This window comes from Homo sapiens, chromosome 3 (genome assembly GCF_000001405.40).
Source record: "Homo sapiens chromosome 3, GRCh38.p14 Primary Assembly".
NCBI classification, from domain to species: Eukaryota; Metazoa; Chordata; class Mammalia; order Primates; family Hominidae; genus Homo; species Homo sapiens.
The window spans coordinates 121,661,515-121,688,774 of record NC_000003.12 but is presented as its reverse complement, the minus strand read 5'-3'; the positions used below and the strand labels follow the sequence as shown (position 1 = coordinate 121,688,774).

Here is a 27,260-nt window from a genome sequence, read left to right as displayed (position 1 = left end):
ATCTCAGACGATGGGCAGCCGGGCAGAGACGCTCCTCACTTCCTAGATGGGATGGCGGCCGGGCAGAGACGCTCCTCACTTTCCAGACTGGGCAGCCAGGCAGAGGGGCTCCTCACGTCCCAGACGATGGGCGGCCAGGCAGAGACGCTCCTCACTTCCCAGACGGGGTGGCGGCGGGGCAGAGGCTGCACTCTCGGCACTTTGGGAGGCCAAGGCAGGCGGCTGGGAGGTGGAGGTTGTAGCAAGCCGAGATCACACCACTGCACTCCAGCCTGGGCACCATTGAGCACTGAGTGAACCAGACTCCGTCTGCAATCCCGGCACCTCGGGAGGCCGAGGTTGGCGGATCACTCGCGGTTAGGAGCTGGAGACCAGCCCGGCCAACACAGCGAAACCCCGTCTCCATCCAAAAAATACGAAAACCAGTCAGGCGTGGCGGCGCGCGCCTGCAATCGCAGGCACTCGGCAGGCTGAGGCAGAAGAATCAGGGAGGGAGGTTGCAGTGAGCCGAGATGGCAGCAGTACAGTCCAGCTTTGGCTCGGCATCAGAGGGAGACCGTGGAAAGAGAGGGAGAGGGAGACCATGGGGAGAGAGAGAGGGAGAGGGAGAGGGAGAGCGAAAATTCTAATTTTTAAGATGAGCTCTAGTGAAAAGATTATTACCCCTAACTGTAGAGTGAGTTTTTCCTTTTTATTGTAGGTAATTGTATTCATTCCTATCTCACTTAATATCCCATATTTATAGACAGTCTTTCCCCTTTTGTAATCCGAACAAAGCCTCTCTGTTCAGTTATGGTTTTTACTTCCAACATACACATACTTGTTTATATTTTTTAAATAATTTGAGTTTAGCTGACTTTGCCCTGGGAGCTTGGCCTTTTGTCTGTCTTTTCAGACCGTAAATGCAAAAGGTTCTATTCATCAGGATGGTATGTGCCTCAAAGCTGTAATTTATGATATGCTGGTATTGATTATCTTCTAAGTCAAAATCTTTTTTCATGGAGCTGTTAGGATAGATTCTGAATTAGCTAACTATGTTTAATTCAGTGAATTGCTTTATTATTCTTATCTGTTATAAACACTAGGCACTAAACTTTGCACATTTTTGTCTGCTGGATAGTTACAGCCAAGCCAACTTTTTTATTTTCGTGTTTCTGTAATTCAGAGTCATATTATTCTGTTCCCAAATGCTCATAACTGTGATTTTATTTTAACCATCAAGATGTATCACTCCTTTATTCACAGTGTGCCTCAAGTATTTTTATTTTCCATCTTCAACATCCTAAGATAAGCTCTAACACTTTACCCTTAAACTGTTCTAATAATGTTGCTTCCAGGTTATCATCTCACCAGTATTTTCAGACCATCACCATATAAGTCTTTCTGAAACTCTACTGTATTACTGCACTACTCAAAAATATTTAAAAGTTGTACTATCTCTAGAATAGACTTAGTATTCAAACCCCCTTTAGTCTGGCATTTAAGACCCTGTTTTTTTGTTTGTTTGTTTTTTGAGATGGAGTCTTGCTCTCTCACCCAGGCTGGAGTGCAGTGGTGCAATCTTGGCTCACTGCAACCTCCGCCTCCCAGGTTCAAGCAATTCTCCTGCCTCAGCCTCCCAAGTAGCTGGGACTACACCATGCCTAGCTAATTTTTGTATTTTTAGTAGAGATGGGGTTTCACCATATTGGCCAGGCTGGTCTTAAACTCCTGGTCTCAAGTGATCCACCTGCCTCGGCTCCCAAAGTGCTGGAATTACAGGCGTGAGCCACCACACCTGGCCAAGACCCTGTAATTTATCCATACCTTTCCAGCGTTCCCTTTTACTGCTCCCTACTCATACCCTTCATTCACACCAAACTGATCTACTCAGTATGCAATAATCACACCTGGTACTTCCTACTTACCCATATTATCTTCAGCAGCCAAAATGTTCTCCCAATTGCTTTCCTTTTTTGAGTGTCTATTTCCCACTATTTAAAGGTCATTCCAGAGCTCAGATCCTCTTCTTACATTTCGTGATTGCCTGATTGTCTTTTGCCTTTGTACTTCCCTAGTATTTTACTTATCATTTGTCCCATATTGCCTTATTGTGTGTGTGTGTGTGTGTATATGTTTAATTTCTGTACACTATTTTTTATTTCCCCAATTAGATTGCAAACTCCTGGTAAGTGTCATGTCTTATACTTATTTGTACATCTTTAGCATAGAACTGACTAAGCAGATGACATATCTCTAGGGGTGCCTGTATTTATCTATACTCTCCTCATTCTGAAAATGACTTGGGGTAGCATATAAAGATATAAACAATTTTTCAAGATAAAATAAAAGGGACTGAGAAGGAGGAGAAAAAGAGGATAGGCTAGAAAAAGATCAAACCAGGAGTAAGGTTAGTGTCCCAAGGGGAAGTCACCATATCCTGTACTGTGTTAGAAAGAGGGATCCATAGTTTGCTCTGAGGTTTCTATTAGCCATCAGAAAGAGGGAATGAAAACCGCATGCATGAACTGCAGTATTTATAGTCTAGGAGAAAAGGAGAAAGAAAAATCACCTACTCAAGACAAGAATAGTCTTTAAGTATTGAGGCCTGTAAGAAATTTCTTCTGTGTTCCCATAAAGAGAACACTGTGCAGTTGTGAAACATCCATTACTTCTCTACAGTAAATATAATAATGTGTTTTTTAGGGTTTTTATTTAGCTGTCCCTTAATGTAAGTGCAGAGCAAAAGAATTACGTCCAGTTCACTAAAACTACCACTCCAAGGAGCTAAAATGCAGTCCCAGGCACACAGCTTTCTGATGGTCCATTCTAGGATACCTCTAGTCTAGTATCTAGACTAGAGGAGTGAGTGGATTGCATAAAGGAATATGTTTTTACCTTAAATCAAAACAAAAATATGTTTTGGGGTTTGGGTTAAAAATAAAGTTATATGACCCATATTTAATTAGTCACTAAATTCTACAATGTTTGGTGGGAAAAGCTAAGAGTAGCACTACCTCAACCCCATTTCTTCTGAGGCAATTTGCTTTCAACCCTTTTAGCTTATTCTTTCAGTATTTCCTGTGTATGTAAATATCATGCTTATATTGCATTTTTGGCTCTTTGTTGCATCAACTATTGATTTTCTTTACACTAACAGGGTTTAGCTCTCTGTACTCTCCCTGCTTTCACAGTAAACCCTGTTAGTGTATGCACTTTTTATTTATTTATTTATTTATTTATTTATTTATTTATTTATTTAGAAACAGAGTCTCGCTCTGTTGCCAGGCTGGAGTGCAGTGGCGCCATCTCAGCTCACTGCACCCTCCACCTCCCGGGTTCAAGCGATTCTTCTGCCTCAGCCTCCCGAGTAGCTGGGACTACAGGTGCACGCCACCTTGCCCGGCTAATTTTTGTATTTTTAGTAGAGACAGGGTTTCACCATGTTGGCCAGGGTGGTCTCAATCTTTTGACCTCGTGATCCACCTGCCTCAGCCTCCCAAAGTGTTGGGATTACAGGCGTGAGCCACTGCACCCGGCCAGTGTGTGCACATTTTAATACAAACCCCTTCCTCATTTTCTTGATGTAATTTAATTTTAATTTTGGTTAAATCAATTCAGAGTTACATTTTTTATGACTACAAATGCTACTAGAGCGTTAGAGACATGTTACTTTTATTTTCCTGAGTCTTTCTGTTTTTCCCAGATTAATAAGTTTTTGTTATTGTTGTTCCTTAGTTTTCTTTGTACTTAATGTAATTTAACCTCAGATTTACTGCCATTTGTCCACATCTCCTTTCAAGATGTTTATTCCCATCAATTTCATCTTCAGGAAGAAAATTCTCCTGGAGTACCTGATTTGCTCCTATATCAACCAGTGGCCCTGTACTCCTAGGATACCCTTTCTATCCCAGAATATTTCCCTTTACCTTTCTCCTATATTAGATCTCCTATTTTGTCTATTCTATGTATTCCTTTTCTTGGTTTTGTGCCATCTTTTTCCTGGAATAAATCATTCAGTAGATCCCTAAGAAATGGTATGTGGAAGGTAAATTTATTGAAAATGTCTTTTTATCTCTCTTATCTGATTGATAGTTTTGCTGGATATAGAATTCTAGGCTGAAAATAATTTCCCTTCAAAATTGTGAAGACATTGGTTTATTGCTTTTTAGCTTATATGTGGTTCACAAGTCTAAAGCTATTCTGATTCCTGATCCTTTGTATGTGATCTGTTTCTCACTTCCCTTCCCCTCACCCCACCTTCCCTCCCTTTCTCCCCTATTCTGAAATTTTTTGATAGTATAATTTGGTATAGGTCTTTTTTTCTTCATCATGCTAACTAGTCCTTTGAATCTAAGAAATCATACTAGCAGCTTTTTGGAAATTTCATTAAATTATTTTTTACCATTTTCCTCTATCCTTTTTCTCTGTTGTCTTATTTCTGAAATGTTTGTTATTTAGATGTAGGACCTTCTTGATTGCTTCTCTAATTTTCTTAACTTTTCCCTTTTTTTTTTTTTTTGCTGTATTTCTGGAAGATTTTCTTGCCTTCGTCTTTTGATTCCAACATTTTTTTCATTTTTGCCATTATATTCTTAATTTCTAAGGATTTTTTTTCTGTGTCTCATAGACAGATTTTCTTGTTTTTTTTTTTTTTTTTTTTTTTTTGAGACGGCGTCTCGCTCTGTCATCCAGGCTGGAGTGCAATGGCATGATCTTGGCTTACTGCAACCTCCGCCTCCTGAATTCAAGCGATTCTCCTGCCTCAGCCTAATGAGTAGCTGGGACTATAGGCTCCCGCCACCACGCCCAGCTAATTTTTATATTTTTAACAGAGACAGGGTTTCACCATGTTGGCCAGGATGGTCTCGATCTCTTGACCTCGTGATCTGCCCACCTCGGCCCCCCAAAGTGCTGGGATTACAGGCATGAGCCACCGTCCCCGGCCGGTAGATTTTCTTCTCTTTCTAAGGCTAATGGTGGTAGTTTTGTTTTTTGACGTTTTCTTATAATGAGTTTTTCTTTATAATTTTTAATTTATGCTGTAATGTTTCTTATTTACAATGTTATCTCTTAAATCTTTGAGTACATTACATTTTCTCCCCTGATAATCTCTTCTAAATTACCTTCTCTAGTTGGTTTTCTTCCCTTCCTTAATGTTAGCCATTCTTCAGGTGAAGGTTAATCCTCAATGTACTCTTCATGTTTAAGGGGAGGGTCTAAAACCTTGTGGGTAGGACTTACCAACGGAGTTTCATTGCATGATGATCTTATTGAGCTTATTGGTAGCCCTTATCTCAGTATCTTTAGTTTTTCTTGGGCTGGTCAGATTTTCAAGAGAAGACTTTTCATTTCCTTTGTGGAGGGAAAAGGCCTTTTACCAGCACTCTTCAAGCTCAGTAGGGGAAAGACTTCAAGCACTCAGGAAGCATGCATTCACTTTATTTGGAACAATACCCTTACTTGTAACTGTGCCTCAGGTGCCATAGTCCACAGAGACTTCTTTTACCTGTCCAGAGAATAAAATTAGTTGTCTGTTGGGGTAACAAAAAGTGTGGAGCTGAAGAGGGTACCTATAAATGAAGTTGTTTTCTGGCCGGGCGCAGTGGCTCACGCCTGTAATCCCAGCACTTCGGGAGGCCAAGGTGGAGGGATCACTTGAGTCCAGGAGTTTGAGACCAGCCTGGGCAACATACTGAGACTCCGTCTCTCCAAAAAAAAAAAAAAAAAAAAAAAAAAAAATTAAAAGAAATTGCTTCTTAAGCAGCTTTCATCTAGACCTCCTTATCTCAGCTATCACCTCCCTCCCACCCCCATCACCATCTTTTCCAGAGGTGCCTGATGCTGTTAATTCCTGAGCCTTTTGAAGATTCTGCAGAGTAAGTTCCACTGATTCTTGGATTTTCTTACTACCAGCTTTAGATTCTGCTTTCTCAGATCTGTTAAGTCAGTTACCACTTACTCATCTGCTTTTCAGCTTCCAAAATTAATTTTATTGCTGCTGATTCCTCTATTGTTTTTCCTGTTCTTGTGTTTTGTGCTTTAAAAAATGCTATTATTTTAGCTTTAGCGATGTCTCTAAGTGGGTGAAAGAGGTATGTGAACAAGACCCCCATCTTTGCCCAGATGTCCTGATATTATTTCTCCCTTACTAAGCTTTTAATGAGTATTGGAGATAAAGAAGTTGAAAATATATCTGAAATGTAGGTAGGCAGTGTTGTTAATTAAAGGCAAGTCTGTCATCATCACTAACTTTATGTGTGAAGTGCATTAATTTGCTCATTTACTTCTCATATTCTTATGAAAAAGGTACTATAATTATCTTCATTTAATAGATGAGGAAAATTAGCCTGGGCAACAGAGCAAGACTCCCTCTCAAAAAAAAAAGAAGAGTATGAGGAACATGCATTGGGTCACACGTCCAAGAAGTAGTAGGATATCTAACTCCAGAGCCTAAGTGTCCTTAACCACTGAGCAGCACTGCCTTCTTTATAATCAGTATCCGCTAAGCTACAGTTAAGATTGATAGCCCTGTAGGAAAGTTAAGAACCCTAACAAGGACACATGACTAGTTCTTGTTTTAGGATGTGACCACCCACAGTGAAGCTCTAGGTCTCTTAAGTCTACCCCACGTCAGAATTGTAGCCCTAAAGTGAACTTAGGACCTTAGGAGCCAGGGGAAGGAGTAGAAGTTGCAGGAATAGTCACACCCTGTAGCCTTGATGGCAGCTCCATGGGTGATTTCCACCAGCCTAGCTGCATGTATTTCACTACTTTAGAGACTTATGTTGCAGTGATATGTCATCAGTGGACTGTTAGGTGCTGGTTTCATGTTGTGGTGTCTGACTACTTAGTAGGGAGCTACCAATGACTTACAGTTAGATGAATGAGATGTGACAAATAATCATTTTACTTTCCCTTTGGTTAAAGCTGAAGGAATTGAAGAATCTGCAGCAGCAATACTTACAGATTAATCAAGAGATCACTGAGTTACATCCACTGAAGGCTCAACTTCAGGAGTATCAAGATAAGACAAAAGCATTTCAGATTATGCAAGAAGAGCTCAGGCAGGAAAACCTCTCCTGGCAGCATGAGCTGCATCAGCTCAGGTACTATATATAATCCCTCCTTTTCAACTCTTTTCATTTTAACTTTTTATTTTGAAATAATTGTAGATTTGGGAAAATAGTGCAGAGAGCTTCTATGTACCCTTCACCCAGTTTCTTCCAGTGGTGACATCTTACATAACTGTAGCACAGTATCAAAACCAGGAAACTGCCATTGGTACAATTCGCGGACCACATTCAGATTCCACCAGTTTTACATGCACTGATTTGACTATCTGTGTGTGTGGTTCTATGCAATTTTGTGACATGTATATTTAAGCACCACCAAAACCAAAATACAGAGCTACTCCATCACCACAAATACGTCCTTTGTGCTACTAGTTTATAGTCACATTCCTCCCTTCCCTACCTTCCTCACATCCTTAACCCCTAGCAACCACTAATCTGTGTTCAATTTTGTCATTTTGAGAATGTTTTCTAACTGGAATCTTGCAGTATATAACCCTTTGAAATTGGCTTTTTTCATGTGCCATAATGCCCTTGAGATCCATCAGTTTTGTTGTATGTATCAATAGTTCATTCTTTTCAGTATAAATAATGTTTCATATTATGAATATACCACTGTATTCACCTGTTGAAGGACATGCATATTGTTTTTAATTTTTAGCTATTCTAATAATACTACTATGAACATTTGTGTATAAGTTTTTGTGTGGACCTAAGTTTTCATTTCTTTGGGATAATTGCCCAGGAGTGCAAATGCTAGCTCATACAATAAGTGAATGTTTTGTTTTTTAAGAAACTGCAAAACCACTTTGCATAATGGCTGAACATCTTTTTAATGTGTGTATTTGACATCCATATATCCTCTTTGATGAAATATCTGTTCATGTCTTTTGTCCGTTTTCTAATTGGGTTAATTTTTTACTGTTAAGTTTTAAGCGTTCTTTATATATTATAGGTATGCATTCTGTGTTTGATTTGCGGTTTGCAAATATTTTTTCCCAATTTGCAGTTTATCTTTTCATCTCCCTCAACAGGGTCTTTTTAATTTTGATGAAATCCAATTTATTATTTTCTCTTTATCATTCAGATTTGGTATTTTCTATTTGATTTTCAAGTTCTCTGCTTCCTACCTCCATTCTGCTATGGCACCCAGTGAGTTAGCTTTTTATTTTGGATATTGTATTTTTCAGTTCTAAAATTTCCATTCAGTTCTTCTTTATATCTTCTATTTCTTTGCTGAAGCTTTCTATACTTTTTCCAGTATGTTAGTAATCGCTTGTTTAAGCATTTCTATGACAGCTGCTGTAAAATCCTTGTCATATAATTCTAATATTTGTGTCACCTCAGTGTTATAAACTGTTGATTTCCTTTTCTTAATCAAGTTGTGGTTTTCCTGGTTCTTGGTATGATGAGTGATTTTTAGTTACATTCTGGACATTTTGGAGATTATAAGACTTTCAGTCTTATTTGAATCTTCTGTGTTAGCAGGCTTCACTGACACCACACCGGCAGGGGAAGGAAGACACTAGGTGGATGGTGAACTCCAGGCACCCCATTCAACTTTCGTTGATACCCCTAAAAGGAAGGGATGCCCTGATACTGCCAGGAGGAAGTGGAAGTCCATGCTCCCCACATGGCCTCCATTGATACTGTGCTGGAAGGAGTGGAGAGGGGCACCTCATTATTGCCAGGTGGTGGTAAAAGTCCAGGCTATCCGCTTAGCCTCCACTGACACTATGGGGAATGGTTAAGAGGGGCATCTTGTTACCACTGGGTAGTACTCAAAGTCCAGAATCCCCACTTGATCTCTTCTGATACCACCTCTGCAGGGACAAGGAAGAGTGCCTTATTAACCTTGTTATGGTGGAGGGGGATGTCCAGGCCCCACATGTTGCCTCCACTGATACCACAGTGGGAGTGGGGGAGGAGGGGCAGTCGGAGAGAGGCACCTTCTTAGCACTAGGTGATTGTAAGAGTCCAAGCTCCATACCTGGCCTTTTCTGACACTACTCCAGTAAGGAGGGTGAGGTGTACCTTGTTACCACCAGCCAAGAATGTACCTAGCTTATCTACCAGGTCTTTGTTAATGGGAGTGGTGAGATACTGTGTTTTTTCCATGTTGTTTGCCTGGAGTATGGTGGTTAGTATCATTAATGGCTCTGTCTAGCTAGACTGTCCCTTCCTGGTCCTTTGGCAAGACTGAGTAAACTTGGTACTCATTGGTGTTTCCGGGTCATGGAATTCTCCAGTATCCGGTTTGGGATATGCAGAATACAAATGGTAAACCAAAGAACTTGCCACCATGTCATTCCTCAAGTCTGGGGATCCCTAGCTGGTTTGCCACCATCTTTCTAAATTTTCTTATGTTTGTTTTTATTTATAAGGCCCAAGAGTTTTATCTATGCAGGTTAAGTATTCCTTATCTGAAATGCTTGGGATTGGAAGTGTTTTGGATTGCGGATTTTTTTGGATTTTGGAATATTTGCATTATCTAATGAGCATTTCCTTTGAGTGTCATGTCAGTGCTCAAAAAGTTTTGGATTTTGAAGTATTTCTGATTTTCTGATTAGGGTTGCTCAGCCTTAGTTGGAAGAATAAGGAGAAATGTGTCTATTTTATTTTGTCTAGAACCAGAAATCCTAGCTCTTTTCTTTTTAAGGAACAGAACAATAATAATGCTATCATGGCAGAAGAAATTAAGATAGGAGCTATAATTCTGATTTTTTTTTTAATTCAGTTTTTCTGACAAATTTAATCCCAAGATTAAACACTTAGTGTATAAAAACAGGTCTAGTTGTTGCAGCCTCATTTTTGGGAGGTTGTTACTGTTTAACTTAAGATGGTTCATGCTGCCTTAATAAATTCATACTTGGCTGGGTGCGGTGGCTCACACCTGTAATCCTAGCACTTTGGGAGGCCAAGGCAGGTAGATCATGTGAGGTCAGGAGTTTGAGACCAGCCTGGCCATCTCTACCAAAAATACAAAAATTAGCTGGGCATGGTGGCGTGCGCCTGTAATCCCAGCTGCTTGGGAGACTGAGGCAGGAGAATTGCTTGAACCCGGGAGGTGGAGGTTGCAGTGAGCCAACATCATGCCACTGCACTCTAACCTGGGCAACAGAGTGAGACCCTGTTTCAAAAAAAAAAAAAATTCAAAAAGCTTTCAAGATTTGATATTAAAAGGAGAATTACCATGTTGGACATTGCTGCTGATCAAGCAGCACCTGCTTTGTTTCACCAATGCTAGAGGACAAGAGGCAAATGAATACAGAAAATATGAGTTGGAATCTCAATTTCTATCCAGCTTACAAGGGGCCATTAGAATGACAACTGTCAATATAGTATAAATATCATAACATCTCTAAGAGAGTTCTTAATGTTCAGACACAGGAGATTTCAAACCTTAAGCAACATTGATATAGCAAAATGCTTTTTGGAATTTAATGATTTAAACTTTATGGAGTAAAATTACATCTAAAAGATTTTCATATTTAACATCTTTATGGACTTGATTATAAGTGAACATTTATCAAGCTCATTGCATGGAGTTGGCAGCTTCCCCAGATAATACAAGAACAAATTTTTTGTTTAAACAAATGATGATGATTGCAGAGCAAGTAAAAAGAAAATGGCAAAACAACTGAGTTTTGCTCTCTAGAAATATAAATTTGTTTCTTCTTTTGAAATTGAATCTCAAGAGAAAAGATAAATTGCTCCATTTTAACCTCCATTTTTCTTCAGGGAATAGCACCCCAGCTTTATTCTGTTAGAATCTTAATTTATCATCAGAAGTTTAGGTGCTTGCTGTGTCCTTCAGATGCACTTGAATTTAGGGCCCTCCAAAGGTGATTGGTACCGTATCAGAGCATCGCTTGATGCCTCTCATCTTATCTCCACATCACCTAGAACTACAGAAATATTAAAGTGTTCAGCTACTAGTGTAAACCTAAGAAGAGCTGCAAAGCTCTAAAGGCTTATTTCCTGCAGCCTTTCTTCTTTAAATTTCCTCTAATGGCAATCTAAAAGGATATTTATTTTCCTTATTTCCTTATATAATTGACCCTTAGGGAAGAGAAAAGGAGATAGAGAAAAAAAGATTCCTGTTTTTTCCCCCACATTTTCTCTCTTTCCACCTTTTTCTTAGCCTTTCTTTCTTTACCTTCCAGATTTGAGTAACTTTGAAGATAAGCAAAGTGCTGAGGTTACAGGTGCGAGCTACCATGCCCAGTTACAAGTATATTTTTACCTGTGATTGTGTCATGTTTTTTCTAGGATGGAGAAGAGTTCCTGGGAAATACATGAGAGGAGAATGAAGGAACAGTACCTTATGGCTATCTCAGATAAAGATCAGCAGCTCAGTCATCTGCAGAATCTTATAAGGGAATTGAGGTCTTCTTCCTCCCAGACTCAGCCTCTCAAAGTGCAATACCAAAGACAGGTGAGTAATTTCAATGCTGATTGTTACTCAGAGATAAATTTTTAAACAAATGATGATGATTGCAGGGTTTTGTTTTTTTTTTAAGACGCTACCCAGAAAGCATCAGCTTCCTACAAATTAAGTGCCCATCTGCCACTATTAAGTGCCCATAAGCCACCTTATGACTTCTATGGGGCGGACAGGATTTCTAGAGGGAAGGAATTAAGCATGCGCAATCTTAGGAGAGAATCTGATCAATGTTTGTGTCCTGGCAGGCATCCCCAGAGACATCAGCTTCCCCAGATGGGTCACAAAATCTGGTTTATGAGACAGAACTTCTCAGGACCCAGCTCAATGACAGCTTAAAGGAAATTCACCAAAAGGAGTTAAGAATTCAGCAACTGAACAGCAACGTAAGTGTTTCTTGTTAGACTGGAATTCAGTTTCTTTTTTCCATGACTGGAACAAGAAGGCAAGTAGAAGCCAATTCAGCATAGAGTCCCAGCTGTAGCATATCTTAGGGTACAGAAGTTTCACCTTTCTCAGAACCTGGGTGCTTATTCCAAAGCACTGGACACAGGGCCATTTCTTGTCCTTTGCCCTTGGTGAGTCCTTGGGAATGATTGGATAAATCCAGACAGTAAAAGTAAAGAAGCCAACTACTTTAGGAAGCCTTCCCCCTGACCTGTATCACTTGTAGTAATGCTGAGGCTACTCCCTACCCCACCCTCTTAAGAATTGTCCTCCTGTTGTTCACTGACTATTCAAAATATTCTTTAGTGGCACCTGCCCTAGTTCTGCCCTCTTGAGAGGAACTCAGCTAAGTAGTCTATGATAGAACTACAAGATATTTAGAGATCAATCAGAATCAGAAGTCCAGAGATTAGCTTTGAGGAGAGCCAAGAATGCCCAAAAATTGTATGCACAATAGTGTGTGTGTGCGTAAGCTTTTCATCACAAGAACTCATCAGTTGACCAAGGGGTCTGTGATCCAAAAATTAAAAAGATCACTAGGCTGTTTTCACAGATGAGGAAAAAGGCCCTGGAGTAGTAAGTAACTTGCCTGAGGTGTTAGGACGAAGTCAGTCTGAAATAAACGTGATCATGCATGTGGAAAAGCACAGTGCCTGCATATGTAGAGGGTACTTATTAAATGTAGTTAAATTCAACTAATTGACACTGAAGTATCAGAGAGGAGACATTTGCAGTTTTTAAAGTCTGCAGGCCCAAATGAATTAGTTAAACTGTAGACTCTTTATTGGTAGATTTGTCTGGGAGTTTTCAAAGGGACTCCAGAGCAGCTCCCATGGAGTTCCCCTTCCAGCAAATCAGCTATTTCCGGAAGTTCCACCCTTTACAGCTCTAGCCTGTCTCTTTTTTCCGTCAACTAACTCCCGTCTCAGGCCTGTTACATTTGCTCTCCAAACATTAGACTCTGAATCACATTGGGCATTTGTCTGTCTAGGACAGTGTTTTAAACTGAAATTCAGGACCATTAATAAATGATGAAATCATTTTGGTGGGCAACAACTAAAAAAAATTTTTAATGTTTTATTGAAGTAAAACATACAGAAAAGTAAACAAATCATAAGTACAGCATGATATATTTTCACAAAGTGAAGATACCCATATAATCAGCACCCAGATCTAGAATCAGAACATACCAGAACTCCAGAAGTCCCTTGTGTCTTCTGTTCACTCCTACCCACTTAGAACTACATATAAATGGAGTCATACCTTTTCTTTTATATTGCTTCATTTATTTTGTGAGATTCATCCATGTCGTTGCATATAGTGTCATTTTTCCACTCTCATGCTGTGTAGTATTGCATTTTAGGCATATACCACAATCTCTATTCTGTTGAAGGACATTTGGGCTTCTCCAGTTTGGGGCTATTACAAATAGTGCAGTTGGTGTTTTTACAAAAAAAAGAAATGAGGTAAAAACACGTATGTAATATATAATAAAGAATATGTCTGTCTTTGGAAAACTTTAGTTTTAATTGTATATATTTATATACTGGGTTCTAAGTCATAAAGTTGTGTTTTTTAACACCTTTATTGAGATATGTAATTCCACTTAAAGTGTGAGAAACACTGCATAGGTCACTGTCATTCTGAGTGAGAAACAGTTTTTCCTTTAGAACTCAACTGTAAGAAAGGCACCTCAGGCCGGGCGCGGTGGCTCACGCCTGTAATCCCAGCACTTTGGGAGGCCGAGGCGGGTGGATCATGAGGTCAGGAGATCGAGACCATCCTGGCTAACAAGGTGAAACCCCGTCTCTACTAAAAATACAAAAAAATTAGCCGGGCGCGGTGGCGGGCGCCTGTAGTCCCAGCTACTCGGGAGGCTGAGGCAGGAGAATAGCGTGAACCCGGGAAGCGGAGCTTGCAGTGAGCCGAGATTGCGCCACTGCAGTCCGCAGTCCGGCCTGGGCGACAGAGCGAGACTCCGTCTCAAAAAAAAAAAAAAAAAAAAAGAAAGGCACCTCATTCCTAGCCTTATTCAGTCATTAAAACAATAACTATTATTTGTCTTCCATGAGCCTGGCTATATGCTAGATACTGAGGATATACATATTCCTTCATGAGCTTAGCCTCACTCTGAATGAGTCCCAGCTAAATAGGAGAATTGCTTCTTGGGCCCCAGAATGAGATTGTAGTAGATGGGCTGTCAGCATAGATTGTTCTTCTCTAAGCCACTTCCCTAATTCTTTCTTCAGATGTTCAGGTTTTATATTTATAGTTGGCCCTTCATATTGGTAATTTCTGCATTCACAGATTTAACTAACTGTAGATTGAAAATATTCAGGAAAACATGAATTTTAAAAATACAGTATAACAACTATTTATATAGCATTTGTATTGTATTAGGTATTATAAGTAATCTAGAGATTATTTAAAGTATATGGGAGGCCACAGGTAACATTGTACTGAACAGGGAAAAATTGAAGGCCTTTCCTCTAAGATCTGAAATAAGACAAGGATGCCTACTTTCACCACTGTTATTCAATATATTATTAGATACCCTAGCTAGAGCAATTAGGCAAAAACAAAACAAAAAAAAAAGCACATCCAGATTGGAAAGGAAGAGGTCAAATTAGCCTTTTTTGCAGATGATATGACCTTATACTTAGAAAAACCTAAAGAATCCACCAAAAAACTGTTAGAACTGATAAATGAATTCAGTAAAGTTGCAGGAGACAAAATCAACAGGCAAAAATCAGTAGCATTTATATATGCCAACAGCAAACAATCTGGAAAAGAAATCAAGAAAGCAATCCCAGTCAGCCATGGTGGCTCATGCCTGTAATCCTTGCACTTTGGGAGGCCAAGGTGAGTGGATCACTTGAGGCCAGGAGTTTGAGACCAGTCTTGCCAACATGGCGAAATCCCTTCTCTACTAAAAATACAAAAATTAGCCAGCCATGGTGGTGCACGCCTGTAATCCCAGCTACTCGGGTGGCTGAGGCATGTGAATCACTTGAACTTGGGAGGCGGAGGTTGCAGTGAGCTGAGATCGCACCCCTGCACTCCAGCCTAGGTGACAGAGCGAGACTGTGTTTCAAAAATAGATAGATAGATAGATAGATAGATAGATAGATAGATAGATAGATAGCAATCCCATTTATAATAGCTACAAAGAATTTAAAATACTTAGGAATCAATTTAACCAAAGAAATGAAAGATTTATAAAACACTGTGAAAGAAATTGAAGAGGACACTAAAAAAAGGAAAGATATTTCGTGCTCATGGATTAGAAGAATTAATATCATTAAAATGACAGTACTACACAAAGCAATCTACAGATTAAATGCAATCCCTATCAAAATACCAATGACATTCTTCACAAAAATGGGAAAAAAAATTTAATATGTATGTAACCACAAAAACTCCTAACTAGCCAAAGCAATCTTGATTAAAAAGAGGAAAACTGGGTCGAGTGTGGTGGCTTATGCCTGTAATCCCAGCACTTTGGGAAGCCAAGATGAGTGGATCACCTGAGGTCAGGAGTTCGAGACCATCCTGGCCAACATGGTGAAACCCCGTCTCTACTAAAAATACAAAAATTAGCTGGGCGTGATGGCGGGGGCCTGTAATCCCAGCTACTTGGGAGACTGAGGCAGAGAATTGCTTGAACCCGGGAGGTGGAAGTTACAGTGAGCCGAGATCGCGCCACTGCACTCCAGCCTGGGTGACAGAGCGAGACTCCGTCTCAAAAAAAAAAAAAACCAAAAAACAAAAAAACACACAAAACAAAGCTGGAAGCATCACACTACCTGTTTAATGAGCATGATACTGGCATAAAAACAGACACACAGACCACCAATGAAACAATTAGAAACCCAGGTATAAAGCCAGGCATTTAGGGGCAACTTGTCTTTGACAAAGGCACCAAGAACATATGATGGAGAAAGGACAATCTCTCTAATAAATGGTGCTGGGAAAACTGGATATCTATATGCAGAAAAATAAAACTAGACTCCTATCTCTCATCATACAAAAATCAAATCAAAATGGATTAAAGACTTAATTCTAAGATCTGAAACTATGAAACTACTAGAGCAAAACTTGTGGAAATGCTTCAGGACATGGATCTAGCCAAGGCTTTTTTTGTGTAAGTCCTGAAGAGTACAGGCAACCAAGGCAAAAATAGACAAATGGGATTACAGCAAGTAAAAGGCTTCTGTTCAGCAAAGGAAGCAATCAACAGAGTGAAGAGACAATCCACAGAATGAGAGAAAACATTTGCAAACTACCCATCTAACAAGGGATTAATAACCAGAATATATAAGGGACTCAAACAATTAAATAGCAGGAAAACAAATAACTCAACTTAAAAGTGGGCAAAAGATCTGAATAGACGTTTCTCAAAAGAAGACATACAAATGGCCAACAGATATAAAAAAAAATACTCAGCATCCCTAAACATCAGAGAATTGTAAATCAAAGCTATAGTGAGATGTCATCTCACCTTTGCTGAAATAGCTTTTATCAAAAAGACAGGTAGTAACAGATTCTGGCAAGGATGCAGAGAAAGGGGGAACTCCCATACACTGTTAGCAATGTAAGTTAGTACAGCCACTGTGGAGAACAGTATGGAGGTATCTCAAAAAGCTAAAAATAGAACTACCATATGATCCAGCAACCCACGTATCTACAAGAAAGAAAATCAATATATCAAAAAGACATCTGTACTCCCATGTTTATTGGAGCACTGTTCATAAAAAACAAAACATAGAATCAATGTAAGTACCCGTCAACAGATGAATAGATTAAGAATGTGGTATATGTACACAAGGGAATATTATTCAGCTTTTAGAGGTATGAAATTCTGTCATTTGTGGCAACATAGATGGAACTGGAGGACATTATGTTAAGTGAAATAAGCCAAGAACAGAAAGACAAATATCACATTCTCACTCGTGTGGGAGCAAAAAAAAAAAAGTGAATCTCATGAAGATAGAGAGTGCATTGGTAGTTACTAAAGGCTGGGAAGGATAAAGGAGAGGAGGGAATGAAGAGAAGTTGATTAATGGGTGCAAATACATGGTTTGATAGAAGAAATAAGACCTAGTGTTAGGTAAATCAATAGGTGATTATAGTTTACCACAATCTATTGTATATTTCAAAATAGCTAGAAGAGAAGAATTTAAATGCTTCTAGCGTAAAGGAAAGACAAATACTTAAGGTGATGGATATTCCAGATACACTGATTTGATCTTTACAAATTATATGAATATATTACATTATAGCATGTATCCTGAAACTATGTATATCTATTATACATGAATTAAAAAATTTTTTAAGTATCTGGGAGGTTGTGTATAAGTTATATGCAAATACCCTGCCATTATATATAAGGAATTTGAGCGTCCTCGAATTTTGGTATACTGGGAGTTGGGGGTCCAGGGGTGGTTCTGAAACCAATACCCCATAGATAACAAGGGATGACTGCATTTCTACCAGCTGTTTGGATGTTAGTATGTAATGTAAGAATGTGCTAGAAACTTAAAAACATGAGATGGATGATTAGTGACATAATGTAGTCTAAATTGTTCCCTCCTATTTTGTTTTTACAGGTATAGATACAGTGAAATATAGTAGCTTATAAGCTAGAGGAGAGGTCAGCAAACTTTTCCTTCAGGCTCAGACAATATTTTAGGTTTGTTGACTGTATGGTCTTTGTTAACAACTACTCATCTTTGCAGTTGTAACACAAACGCAGCCATAGACAATATAGAATCAATTGGGCTGGTTGTGTTCCAGTAAAACCTTATTTATGATAAAAGGGCAGCAGGCCCTGGATCATAGTTTGCCAACCCCTAAACTAGAAGGATCTATGTTTTTGTTTTTGGTATGGTTTGGACTGTTCATTGTGGCCAGGAAAATTAACTTCCTCTTAGGTTAAGGGAAGAACATGTTGTGCCCTGTCTCAGAATCCAATAGTTGTCATTGTACCCAGTTAACTGTCTTCAAATTAGTATCACTTCCCAAATATTTATATCCTTTCCTAACTATTCCCACCTCCTCCCACACCCCCCCCCCCAAAAGAAAACCCTATGATTTTCTTAGCTTTCCTTGCTAGACTATCAGACTGGACACCATCAGATAGTAGATAGAGCTCTAGACTTGGAATCAAGAACCACACTTGAGTCCTGGTTTGACATCTACTAGCCATTTGTAAACAAGGACAGAAATCCTTTCTCTACCTCTCTCAAATAAGATGATACTGGTGAAAGTACTTTGTAAGCTAACATTGCTCTTCAGAATGACAAACACAAAAAACAACCCTACATCTGAAGAGCAATTTTCAGCTAACAGAGCACTTTTACAAGTATGTATGGATTATCTTGTTCTAATTTTCTATTTGCATCAAATGCCCTTCCTCACAGTTGTCTCTAGAAAACTGTCGTCTCTCCTCTAAAACATTGTTTGTTTCAACTTTTTTTCACAAAAACTTACAAAAAAGAATCATCAAGAAAAAATTGAACATGCAACTGGTATACTGGGTTCCTCTCATATAATGTACATGGTCCTAGAGTAGATAACTTGGAGAGACATCTCCATGGTTATTAATGTACCTGGAGGCTAATCACAGCTAAAACTTAAAACTTGACAGCCTGCAAGTGAGAGAATTATAGTTCCAGAGTACCAAATTCAAATCAATGGGTAGAAGCTACAATAGGTAAATTTTTCATTCAATATAAAAATGAATTTTCAGTTTTTTAAATGGTTTGGGTTGCTTTGTCAGGCAGTGGGCGCCCTGACACTGAACATGTTCAAGGGAAGACTGAACGATGACCTGTTAGTCATGCAGTAGAGGAGAGTCCTGCTTTAAGGGACTGAAATGTTTCTACCTGGGAGAATCTATGCTCTCAACAGTTTCTGACATATACATATACATGTTGGGATTTATTCTGTTTCTCCCTTCTACCACATATTATAATTTTTTATTCTATTCTCTCAGTAACTTATAACTCTTTATGGCATTGAGGAATCTGCCTAGGAATATTATTGCACAGATTTTGGGGTGACAGCTCTCTCCAGCCATATTGAGTTCTGGAGATTATAGTCATTTGTTAGTACCATGAACTTTGACCCTGAGGTACTGCCTTCTCCCTCTTATGTACCCAGAATAGCCTATGTAATTAGATTGCTTATGGACTTCTGCTTCATGGTTTTTCAGTTAATGTACTGGGCACCATTTAAAAAAACAAAACAGAACAAAACAAAAAAACCTTTCTGCTACTCCTCCAGAATTGTTTTCTGTCTTGGTCAAAAAAAAATTATGCTTTTTCCAACTTTGAAGGCACACAAAGTGCTATTGTTGCTGTTGCTGAAACAAAGGTCTTCCATAGGAAAATTAGATCCTGAAAACTCAGAACATTTCACCTCAGCACTGCTTACAGTACTGCAGGATGATGCTTATCCTCGCCTCTGTTTCAGTTCTCTCAGCTACTGGAAGAGAAAAACACCCTTTCCATTCAGCTCTGCGATACCAGTCAGAGTCTTCGTGAGAACCAGCAGCACTATGGTGACCTTTTAAATCACTGTGCAGTCTTGGAGAAGCAGGTTCAAGAGCTGCAGGCGGTGAGTAAAGAGAAGGTGAGAGACTGGGAGAAGTGTGATGAAATTTAGTGCAAGTGGTGAAGCACTACAGAGCAGTATGGAAGAAGTTAATGTAATTAGGGGTCAGGGAAGAAAGTGGGAGAGAAGAAAGAGTTAATTGAGATGGGAATAAGGTCTGAGAAAAATTACAGTGAAGCAATTAGAAGAAAAAAGATCAGTGAGATGGTGGGAGAGAAATCAAAACATGAGTAGGAAACAGTGATGACTGAGACATTTGGTACTCTGAAACAGAGAAAGTGTTGATTTTGCTTTAAGTTATAAGAAAATTGTAGGAAACTTTGGATCTGAGAACAAAACAGGCAGCACTGTTGACAGCCAGGGAGAGGAGTACAGCATTGAAGTTGGAGGAGACTGAGAATTAGTATGGAGACGTATAGGATACGGAGGAGGAAAAGGGGGTTGGGAGGGGCTGGACAAGCAAGGGAAGGATCAAAGTGGCTTCTGGAAAAGCCATAAGCATCCACAGCAGACTTAACTTTTTTTTTTTTTTTTTTTTTTTTGAGACGGAGTCTCGCTCTGTCGCCCAGGCTGGAATGCAGTAGCACGATCTCGGCTCACTGCAACCTCCACCTCCTGGGTTCAAGCAATTCTCTGCCTCAGCCTCCCGAGTTGCTGGGATTACAGGCGCCTGCCACCACACCCGGCTAATTTTTTGTATTTTTAGTGGAGACAGGGTTTCACCATCTTGGCCAGGCTGGTCTTGAACTCCTGATCTTGTGATCCACCCACCTCGGCCTCCCAAAGTGCTGGGATTACAGGCTTGAGCCACGGCGCCCGGCCCAGACTTAACTTTTAAGAGGAGAAATTCAAGAATGAGAATCTGGGAGAAAAATCTAATCAAGACAAGAGTTTTATGTAGGTGAGTAATCTGCTAGAGCAGAAGCTTCTCACTTCTAAATTTGGACTTGAGAATTATAAGCGGGGATAGTCCTCTGTAAACGAGCTCTCATTTTGCTCAAATACACTTTCTTAAGAGCTTTCATCACTGAATTACTAAGCTTATTCTTCTTCCAGGGGCCACTAAATATAGATGTTGCTCCAGGAGCTCCCCAGGAAAAGAATGGAGTTCACAGAAAGAGTGACCCTGAGGAACTAAGGGAACCGCAGCAAAGGTAGGGGAGTGGCTCTCTAAACCCTGGAGCATACACCAGAGTCCAGAAATTGGGCAGTAATCTAGATTTAACTGGAGTCCTTTATATGGATTTAATATGTCTTGTTATCTTATTAGCCTCACAGAAGTGATGTGAGGATCAAATAGTAACAATAATAACTAACATTTGTGTGTGAAAAGTTTGTAAAACAAAAAGAGCAACACCAACACACACACACCACTAACAACTACTCTATGATAGTAAAATGAAAGATAATCAGTTCCTGAAATTTCTTTAGGTATTTTCTGCAGCTTCATTTAATCCCTCTACAGCTTTGCTTTTAAAATATTGTGTTTAGACAAGCTTCTATGGATTTTCTTGCTTTACAACCTTATGAAGACTTTGAATCCCTTGTATTAGCAACTGTTTTCTGCATCTGATGATGCTTTTTGTTTTCCTCTCATCCTAAAGCTTTTCTGAAGCTCAGCAGCAGCTATGCAACACCAGACAGGAAGTGAATGAATTAAGGAAGCTGCTGGAAGAAGAACGAGACCAAAGAGTGGCTGCTGAGAATGCTCTCTCTGTGGCCGAGGAGCAGATCAGACGGTAAAGGCTGAAGGAGATAGCCTCTGTTCCCTTCCGATCCTTTCTGATCAAACTCATGTACATTTCCTGCCAGACTTAGGATTTCTTAAGATCTTTTTCTCATCTTGAGGTAGTTGCTGCAATGAGTTTACCAACATTGTGGTCACCCAAGAGAACACTGTACTTTTGGAGTATAAGAGAGTCAGTGTTTTCTAAAACAGTTGTTCTTAGAGAATAATAATGATATCTACCATTACTGAAAGATATTTTATTTCACCCTAACCATAACTATATGAGGTAGGTGTTGGGTTCTCTAGAGGACCAAATAAGTGACAACCTCATTTTCTACCTGAGATCTGAATCCATGGAAATCTTTTTTAAAAGATTAAAAGATTGAGAGATTAAAAGACTGCTTTATAAATGATGTTAAAAGAATGTAGCTTTTTATTTGTTGGCAAATGCACTTCCTAACCCTGAACTTCCCCTCCCAGTCACAGACAATGTTGGGCCAAGGTAGACCTCCTTCACAGAAAATCCTGCTCTTGCCAAACAAGAGTATTGGAATAACAGAGTGAACTGTGCTTCCTATGAGCAGTTTGCTCCAAGTGTAATTTGGAAGGGCAGAGCTACACATCCCTAGTTCCTTATTCTCATCAAAAGAATCACTATGCATGAGAGGATAGAGAGTTGCTACAAGTATTTTGCTGCTGGAAGTCCCTTTCCACGGAAAATATCGTTAAAAGCAGGCACTTTTATTATATTTTGGGAGAAAGCCACCTATGTATATGATCACTTTCCTCAGAGAATGACATTTCTGATATTAATGCTTTCTTGTAAAGTTTATGTGGCAGAGGTGACAGCCCCATTGAGCAGGTCTTACTTGAGATACCTTTCTTTCCAATCCAACATATTCACAACTTCTTAATTTTCATCACCTATTCAGGCCTTGATATGCAGCTTTGAGGGTGGGCCAGCTTTGCTTAATGCCTTGTGTGGTGTCTTGCCATCTCTGCCGAGCATTTTCAGGCCTGTGCCCTCATGACTGTTTCTCTTCTACTTGCTATTGAATTGTTTAGACCGGTGAAACCTGGCCAATGGGGAGGTTGATCTCCCTCTTGTGTAACTAACCTGTCCCAAACCAACTGAGACTGCATGTGTGGGATGATGACTCTTGAGCCTGTGGGCAAGCCGTATTAATTCAAGCCACAATTCCCTCTTTAGCTCTGATGCAGAATGGAAGTTGGGGTAGCTAATTAAGGGCTGCCTGCCTAGTCCAGGTACTGCCATTGTAATGTTAGAATCTCACATGTACTCTAAAGAGCAGGTGGAACTCAGTGGCCCTCCAGTTTAAAGGCAGCCAGTACCATCTTCCTCATCAATACCTACAGACTTCTCATCCTTCCTCAGCATAGCCTACATTGACAGACTGACCTCCATAGTAACAGACCATGCTGTTCCAGATCAAAGCTGCTTCTGAAAAGCTTATCACATGGAGGAATAGACACAGAAGGTGTATTTTTTAGTCAGCCTGGCTCTCAGGAGGGAAGCAGGAAAGAAGGAGCTAGGCTGTGCATGCTCAGTTCTCTTTCTAGACTCACAAATTGGATTAAGGTGTTTCTTCTCTCCCGGGGAAAAGAATGTGTCCTGCAGAGAGCCCAAGAATATTAAACTAATAGATATCCTTTCAGAAGGAGAAAACACAAAGAGTAGAGGCAAGAGTTTCATCCTCTCTTCCCTATTGAAAAAGTTCATCCCTATAGGCAAATGCTTGATCAAACGTGCTGTGTTACATGCAGCTCCTTTGTTTGTTTGACATAACCATTGAGTGAGTAATGGCAGCTTCTTCATTAAATGGAGAAGTTCCAGTATTAAATAAGCAAATCAGCAAAAACTGAGCCAGAAGGCAGTGGAGACTGCCAATTCAATTTAATTTTTTTTAGTTCAATTTAATTTTTAAAACCCCACAGAAATCTTCTTTGGATGCTTTTGCCTATTAGCCTTTAATAAAAGAAAAAAATGTAATGAGTTTCTCCAAGTCAGGTGTGGTGTGGTGGAAAAAAGAACGTGAGGCTTGAAAGACAAAGTTGGGTATTGAATTCTGGCTCTGCCGCTTACTGGCTGTGCCGCCATGGGCAAGTAATTTAACCTCTGTAAGCCTTAGCACTTTGAAGATAATAAGACCAACCTCAGAACCTGAGGATTAAATGTATGTAAAGCACCCAGCCTAGAGCCTGATACATAGTGAGTAGGCAGTCAATTCCTGATAGTTATTGTCACATTTTGCTGCTGCTGAAGGAAACGTATCTGCTGGTACCCCCCTTGCATGGGTTTGGGTTTATGGGAGCAGCTTTTGCTGCAAGTCTCCTCCTGTGCTGCATTGTGTGGCAGGATGACTGGGAAGACTGGGCCTGATCAGCCTCTCATGCTATGAACCAATGCTATGCCTCTTTTTTTTCTCAACTCAGGTTAGAGCACAGTGAATGGGACTCTTCCCGGACTCCTATCATTGGCTCCTGTGGCACTCAGGAGCAGGCACTGTTAATAGATCTTACAAGCAACAGTTGTCGAAGGGTAAGAGGAAGAAGGATAAAGAGAGGGTGTTTTATTATCTGACAGGGCTGGCTATACTGGGGGCAAGGAGCTGAGGAGAAGGAATGTGGAAGTCCAGCCACTGAGCAGCGAATGAGTCTAAGGCTGGAAGGGCGTGGAAGATTAGAACCTGGTGGAATTTGCCAAGTTGTTGACTCTGAGGCAACTTTCCTCTCAGAATACCCCTTTCTACAGTGGTTGGGTCAGCTTTGCTTAAGTGCAAGACTAGTAGGAGGGAAAGCAACATAGCCCTATAGGGTGAAAACTCTCTGACTTTCACATTTTTCTTTCAGACCCGGAGTGGCGTTGGATGGAAGCGAGTCCTGCGTTCACTCTGTCATTCACGGACCCGAGTGCCACTTCTAGCAGCCATCTACTTTCTAATGATTCATGTCCTGCTCATTCTGTGTTTTACGGGCCATCTATAGACTTAGTTGTTACTCTTTGGACCACTCCCCTCAAAACTTGGAATTCTCTCACCTCTAACATCAGAACATCAATTCCAGTGGAACAGTCTTCCCATTTACAGGTCTTCTCTCCAACTCTTCACGGAAAGTGCCTGCAAAAACAGAGGTGGATACGAGGACAGGTTGGAGCTGCAGGGACTGGCGAGTCTGCTTTCTTCTACTGCCCTGAGCCTGAACGCTTCTGCTTAATCTGAGAATCACATTTGGTTTGTTGAGCCTAATATTTGTTGAGATTTTGCAGGACCCTGATCTTTTGTGGTCCTGTAAAAGATACTGAGGAATGTCTTTCAGCCAAGCCAAGAGGATGGTTTCAATAAACCTAATAATCTGAAGTTCAGTATCATTTTGATTGATAACTTTCTTTGCCTTGTTTGCCTGTATTTTCTCCTGTTTCAGGGGGAAGGTGGCTCTGCCATAAACAGAGTTCAGGGAAATGAACATGTCACCTCATAGGACATCTGATTTAGGTCTCTTGCAGAATAGGGTGGTGAAAGCTGAAGGAACTCCCTAGGGGTTTTAGCTGTTAGATCACATGGGAGGACAGCATCTTCTTCCCTGCCAATTTCAGATATAATTGGAGGGAGAATTTCAGGTCTTAGACTATAAGGATAGAATCCCTTTGCTTTTGCCCTTGATCACATGTATACTAAGGTATTAAGTGGCCCAAGTCTTTCCTTTCACCAAAGGGCAGGGAGAAGTGTCTATGGACAGCAGGGTTCCAATTCTTGTCATTCCAGGAATATCTGAATATTCCTGGAATGTGGACCCTGAGACAGTGCTCAGGGGCCACTGGGAGCCAATATTAGGCATTGACTCTCAGCCAGGAGTCTGACTGGTCTAACACCACACTGCAACTCCTGACCTCTTGAAGTACTAAGCTACTTTGCTGTTAGTGACAGTTATTACAGTTTCTCAGCCCCATTGTCTCTGCCCTCTGTGGCAATGGAAGGAGAATATAGAGAAGACAAAATTAAATATAGATAGACCTGAGAAGGACAGCCAGGATAGAATTCCATTTGTGCCTATTCCCTGCCTCCCCTCCCCTCCCCCATCCTACCAGTTGGTTATTTTCTCATTGCATACGTGATGTGTTCACTGCCTAGCCTCTCCCTAAAGAAGAGAGAAGACAAGTGGGCTGACTGATCTGCTCTAAATCTACTGTGGTGATTAAATCTTGGTTACAACATCCTGGGAAGTTTCCTGAACAACTGTAAAATAATAAAATTATTTTCAGAATGAAGAGTTTGTGTGTATGTGTGTGTACGTGTGAGTGAATGGATATGTGCACAGGTGTTTCGGTACCTGTGTTTGCATGCTGGGGGGTGGAAGGTGGGTAAGGGAAGTAGGGAAAGGAGGTAGCCAGGAATGGTTATAGGGGTAGAAAGCTCTACATATTCAGGCTTTCTTCTCACTGGCCAATATCAGTGACAGCTGCATGCATTTTTCCAGCCTTAGCTGCTAGACCCCAGGTGATGAATGCAGTGAGGAAATTCTATCCTAATACTGAACCAAATAAGCTGGGCCTTAGGGCATGAAATTGATGCAGGTCCATGCATGGTCCTGGGAGAACTCTTGTCTGGCACATAGTGAAAACATTAGGCCCCTAGGGATCCCTCTGGGTGGGAATGGGAGAAGAGAAGCTTAATAGCATGTAGCAGGTTAGATAGGCATTATTATGTTTTGTTTTGTTTTGTTGGGTTTTTTTTGAGACCGAGTTTCACTCTTTCGCTCAGGCTGGAGTGCAGTGGCACAATCTCAACTCACTGCACCTTCCGCCTTCCAGTTTCAAGCGATTCTCCTGCCTCAGTCTCCCAAATAGCTGGGATTACAGGCACCTGCCACCATGCCCGGCTAATCTTTGCACTTTTAGTAGAGATGGAGTTTCACTGTGTTGGCCAGTCTGGTCTCAAACTCCTGACCTTGTGATCCACCCGCCTCAGCCTCCCAAAGTGCTGGGATTAGAGGTGTGAGCCACCGTGCCCAGCTATTATGGATTTTTATATTAAGTTGCTGCTTGAGAGAAGATAGCTCACTTTCTCAAAGTACAATAAGTGGTTTAATTGAACCAAGTCTGTCTGGCTTCAAGGCCCATTCTTTTTCTGTGTGATACACCTCACTACCTCATCAGTAATGAACTTGTGACATTTGCTAAGGAAAGATGGGACTTCTTGGTGTCATCTCTGATTAATTTCTATATTTTCTCTAGAGAACTATGTACCTGGATGGTGTGTCACATCATCTAGTCTAAATCGTATTTTGACACTACATGAGGATTCCAAGTGATTTTTCTCTTGTACAAACGTACTCTTCCTTATCATAACTTTGGTACCACCATGATAAATAGGTAATAAAGTAGAAGGAATAAATAAAGCTCCCCCAGGCATAGAATCCTTAGATTTGGAAGTGACAGAGGCTTCATATTCCTAATGCAGAAAAGTGCCTGTATCATGGGCCAGTTTCATCCAGTCCTGCTTAAACTCCTTGGAGGATGCACCGTTGTGAACAAATCAAGAAGTCCACAATCAAGATTAGGAAAGGCTAGGTCAGATACAATAACAGACACCCTCAAATTCTCAGTAGCCAAAACAAAGGACTATTTTTTAGTGAAAGACTCCAATTCCCCCACATGGTGGATGGGGCTCCACTTGTGTTCTTTCTCACTCAGGGACCCAGTCTGCTGGAGGAGCCAATATGGAGAATTGCAGGTTGCCTTGGGCAGTGGTGAAAGCATGGCAAAGCTTGCAGTGGTCTTACGGCCTCCGCCAGAAAGTGGTATCTGTCACTGGCCAAAACAAGTCACCTGAGTAAGTCTGACTTCAAGAGGGAAGGGAGGGGCAGCAAGTCTTGACACGCAGTAAAACAGGATACCACAAAGACCTTCTTCCATCAGCTGACCAGCACCTGGTTCTTTCAGAATTCTTCCTAC

At 40.4% G+C, this 27,260-nt stretch overlaps 1 protein-coding gene across 28 annotated transcripts in view; it reads left to right on the top strand.

Annotated features, from left to right (window-relative positions):
- GOLGB1 (golgin B1) overlaps window positions 1-25,574 on the top strand; it is an 86,766-nt gene extending 61,192 nt beyond the window's left edge. For 19 of the 28 annotated variants that reach the window (XM_047447994.1, XM_047447992.1, XM_047447989.1 and 16 more), the window contains 8 exons: window positions 6,910-7,088; window positions 11,325-11,490; window positions 11,745-11,882; window positions 19,420-19,578; window positions 20,617-20,714; window positions 21,165-21,299; window positions 23,744-23,849; window positions 24,161-25,574. In XM_047447994.1, coding sequence (XP_047303950.1) covers window positions 6,910-7,088; window positions 11,325-11,490; window positions 11,745-11,882; window positions 19,420-19,578; window positions 20,617-20,714; window positions 21,165-21,299; window positions 23,744-23,849; window positions 24,161-24,295 — 1,116 coding nt within the window. In that variant the 3' untranslated portion in view covers window positions 24,296-25,574. Of the gene's footprint in view, window positions 1-5,811; window positions 5,859-6,909; window positions 7,089-11,324; window positions 11,491-11,744; window positions 11,883-19,419; window positions 19,579-20,616; window positions 20,715-21,164; window positions 21,300-23,743; window positions 23,850-24,160 lie in introns of those variants that run through there. The other 9 variants (XM_047447995.1, NM_001366283.2, XM_047447990.1 and 6 more) reach the window with 2 other exon arrangements.
- Window positions 25,575-27,260: the final 1,686 nt, after the last annotated feature.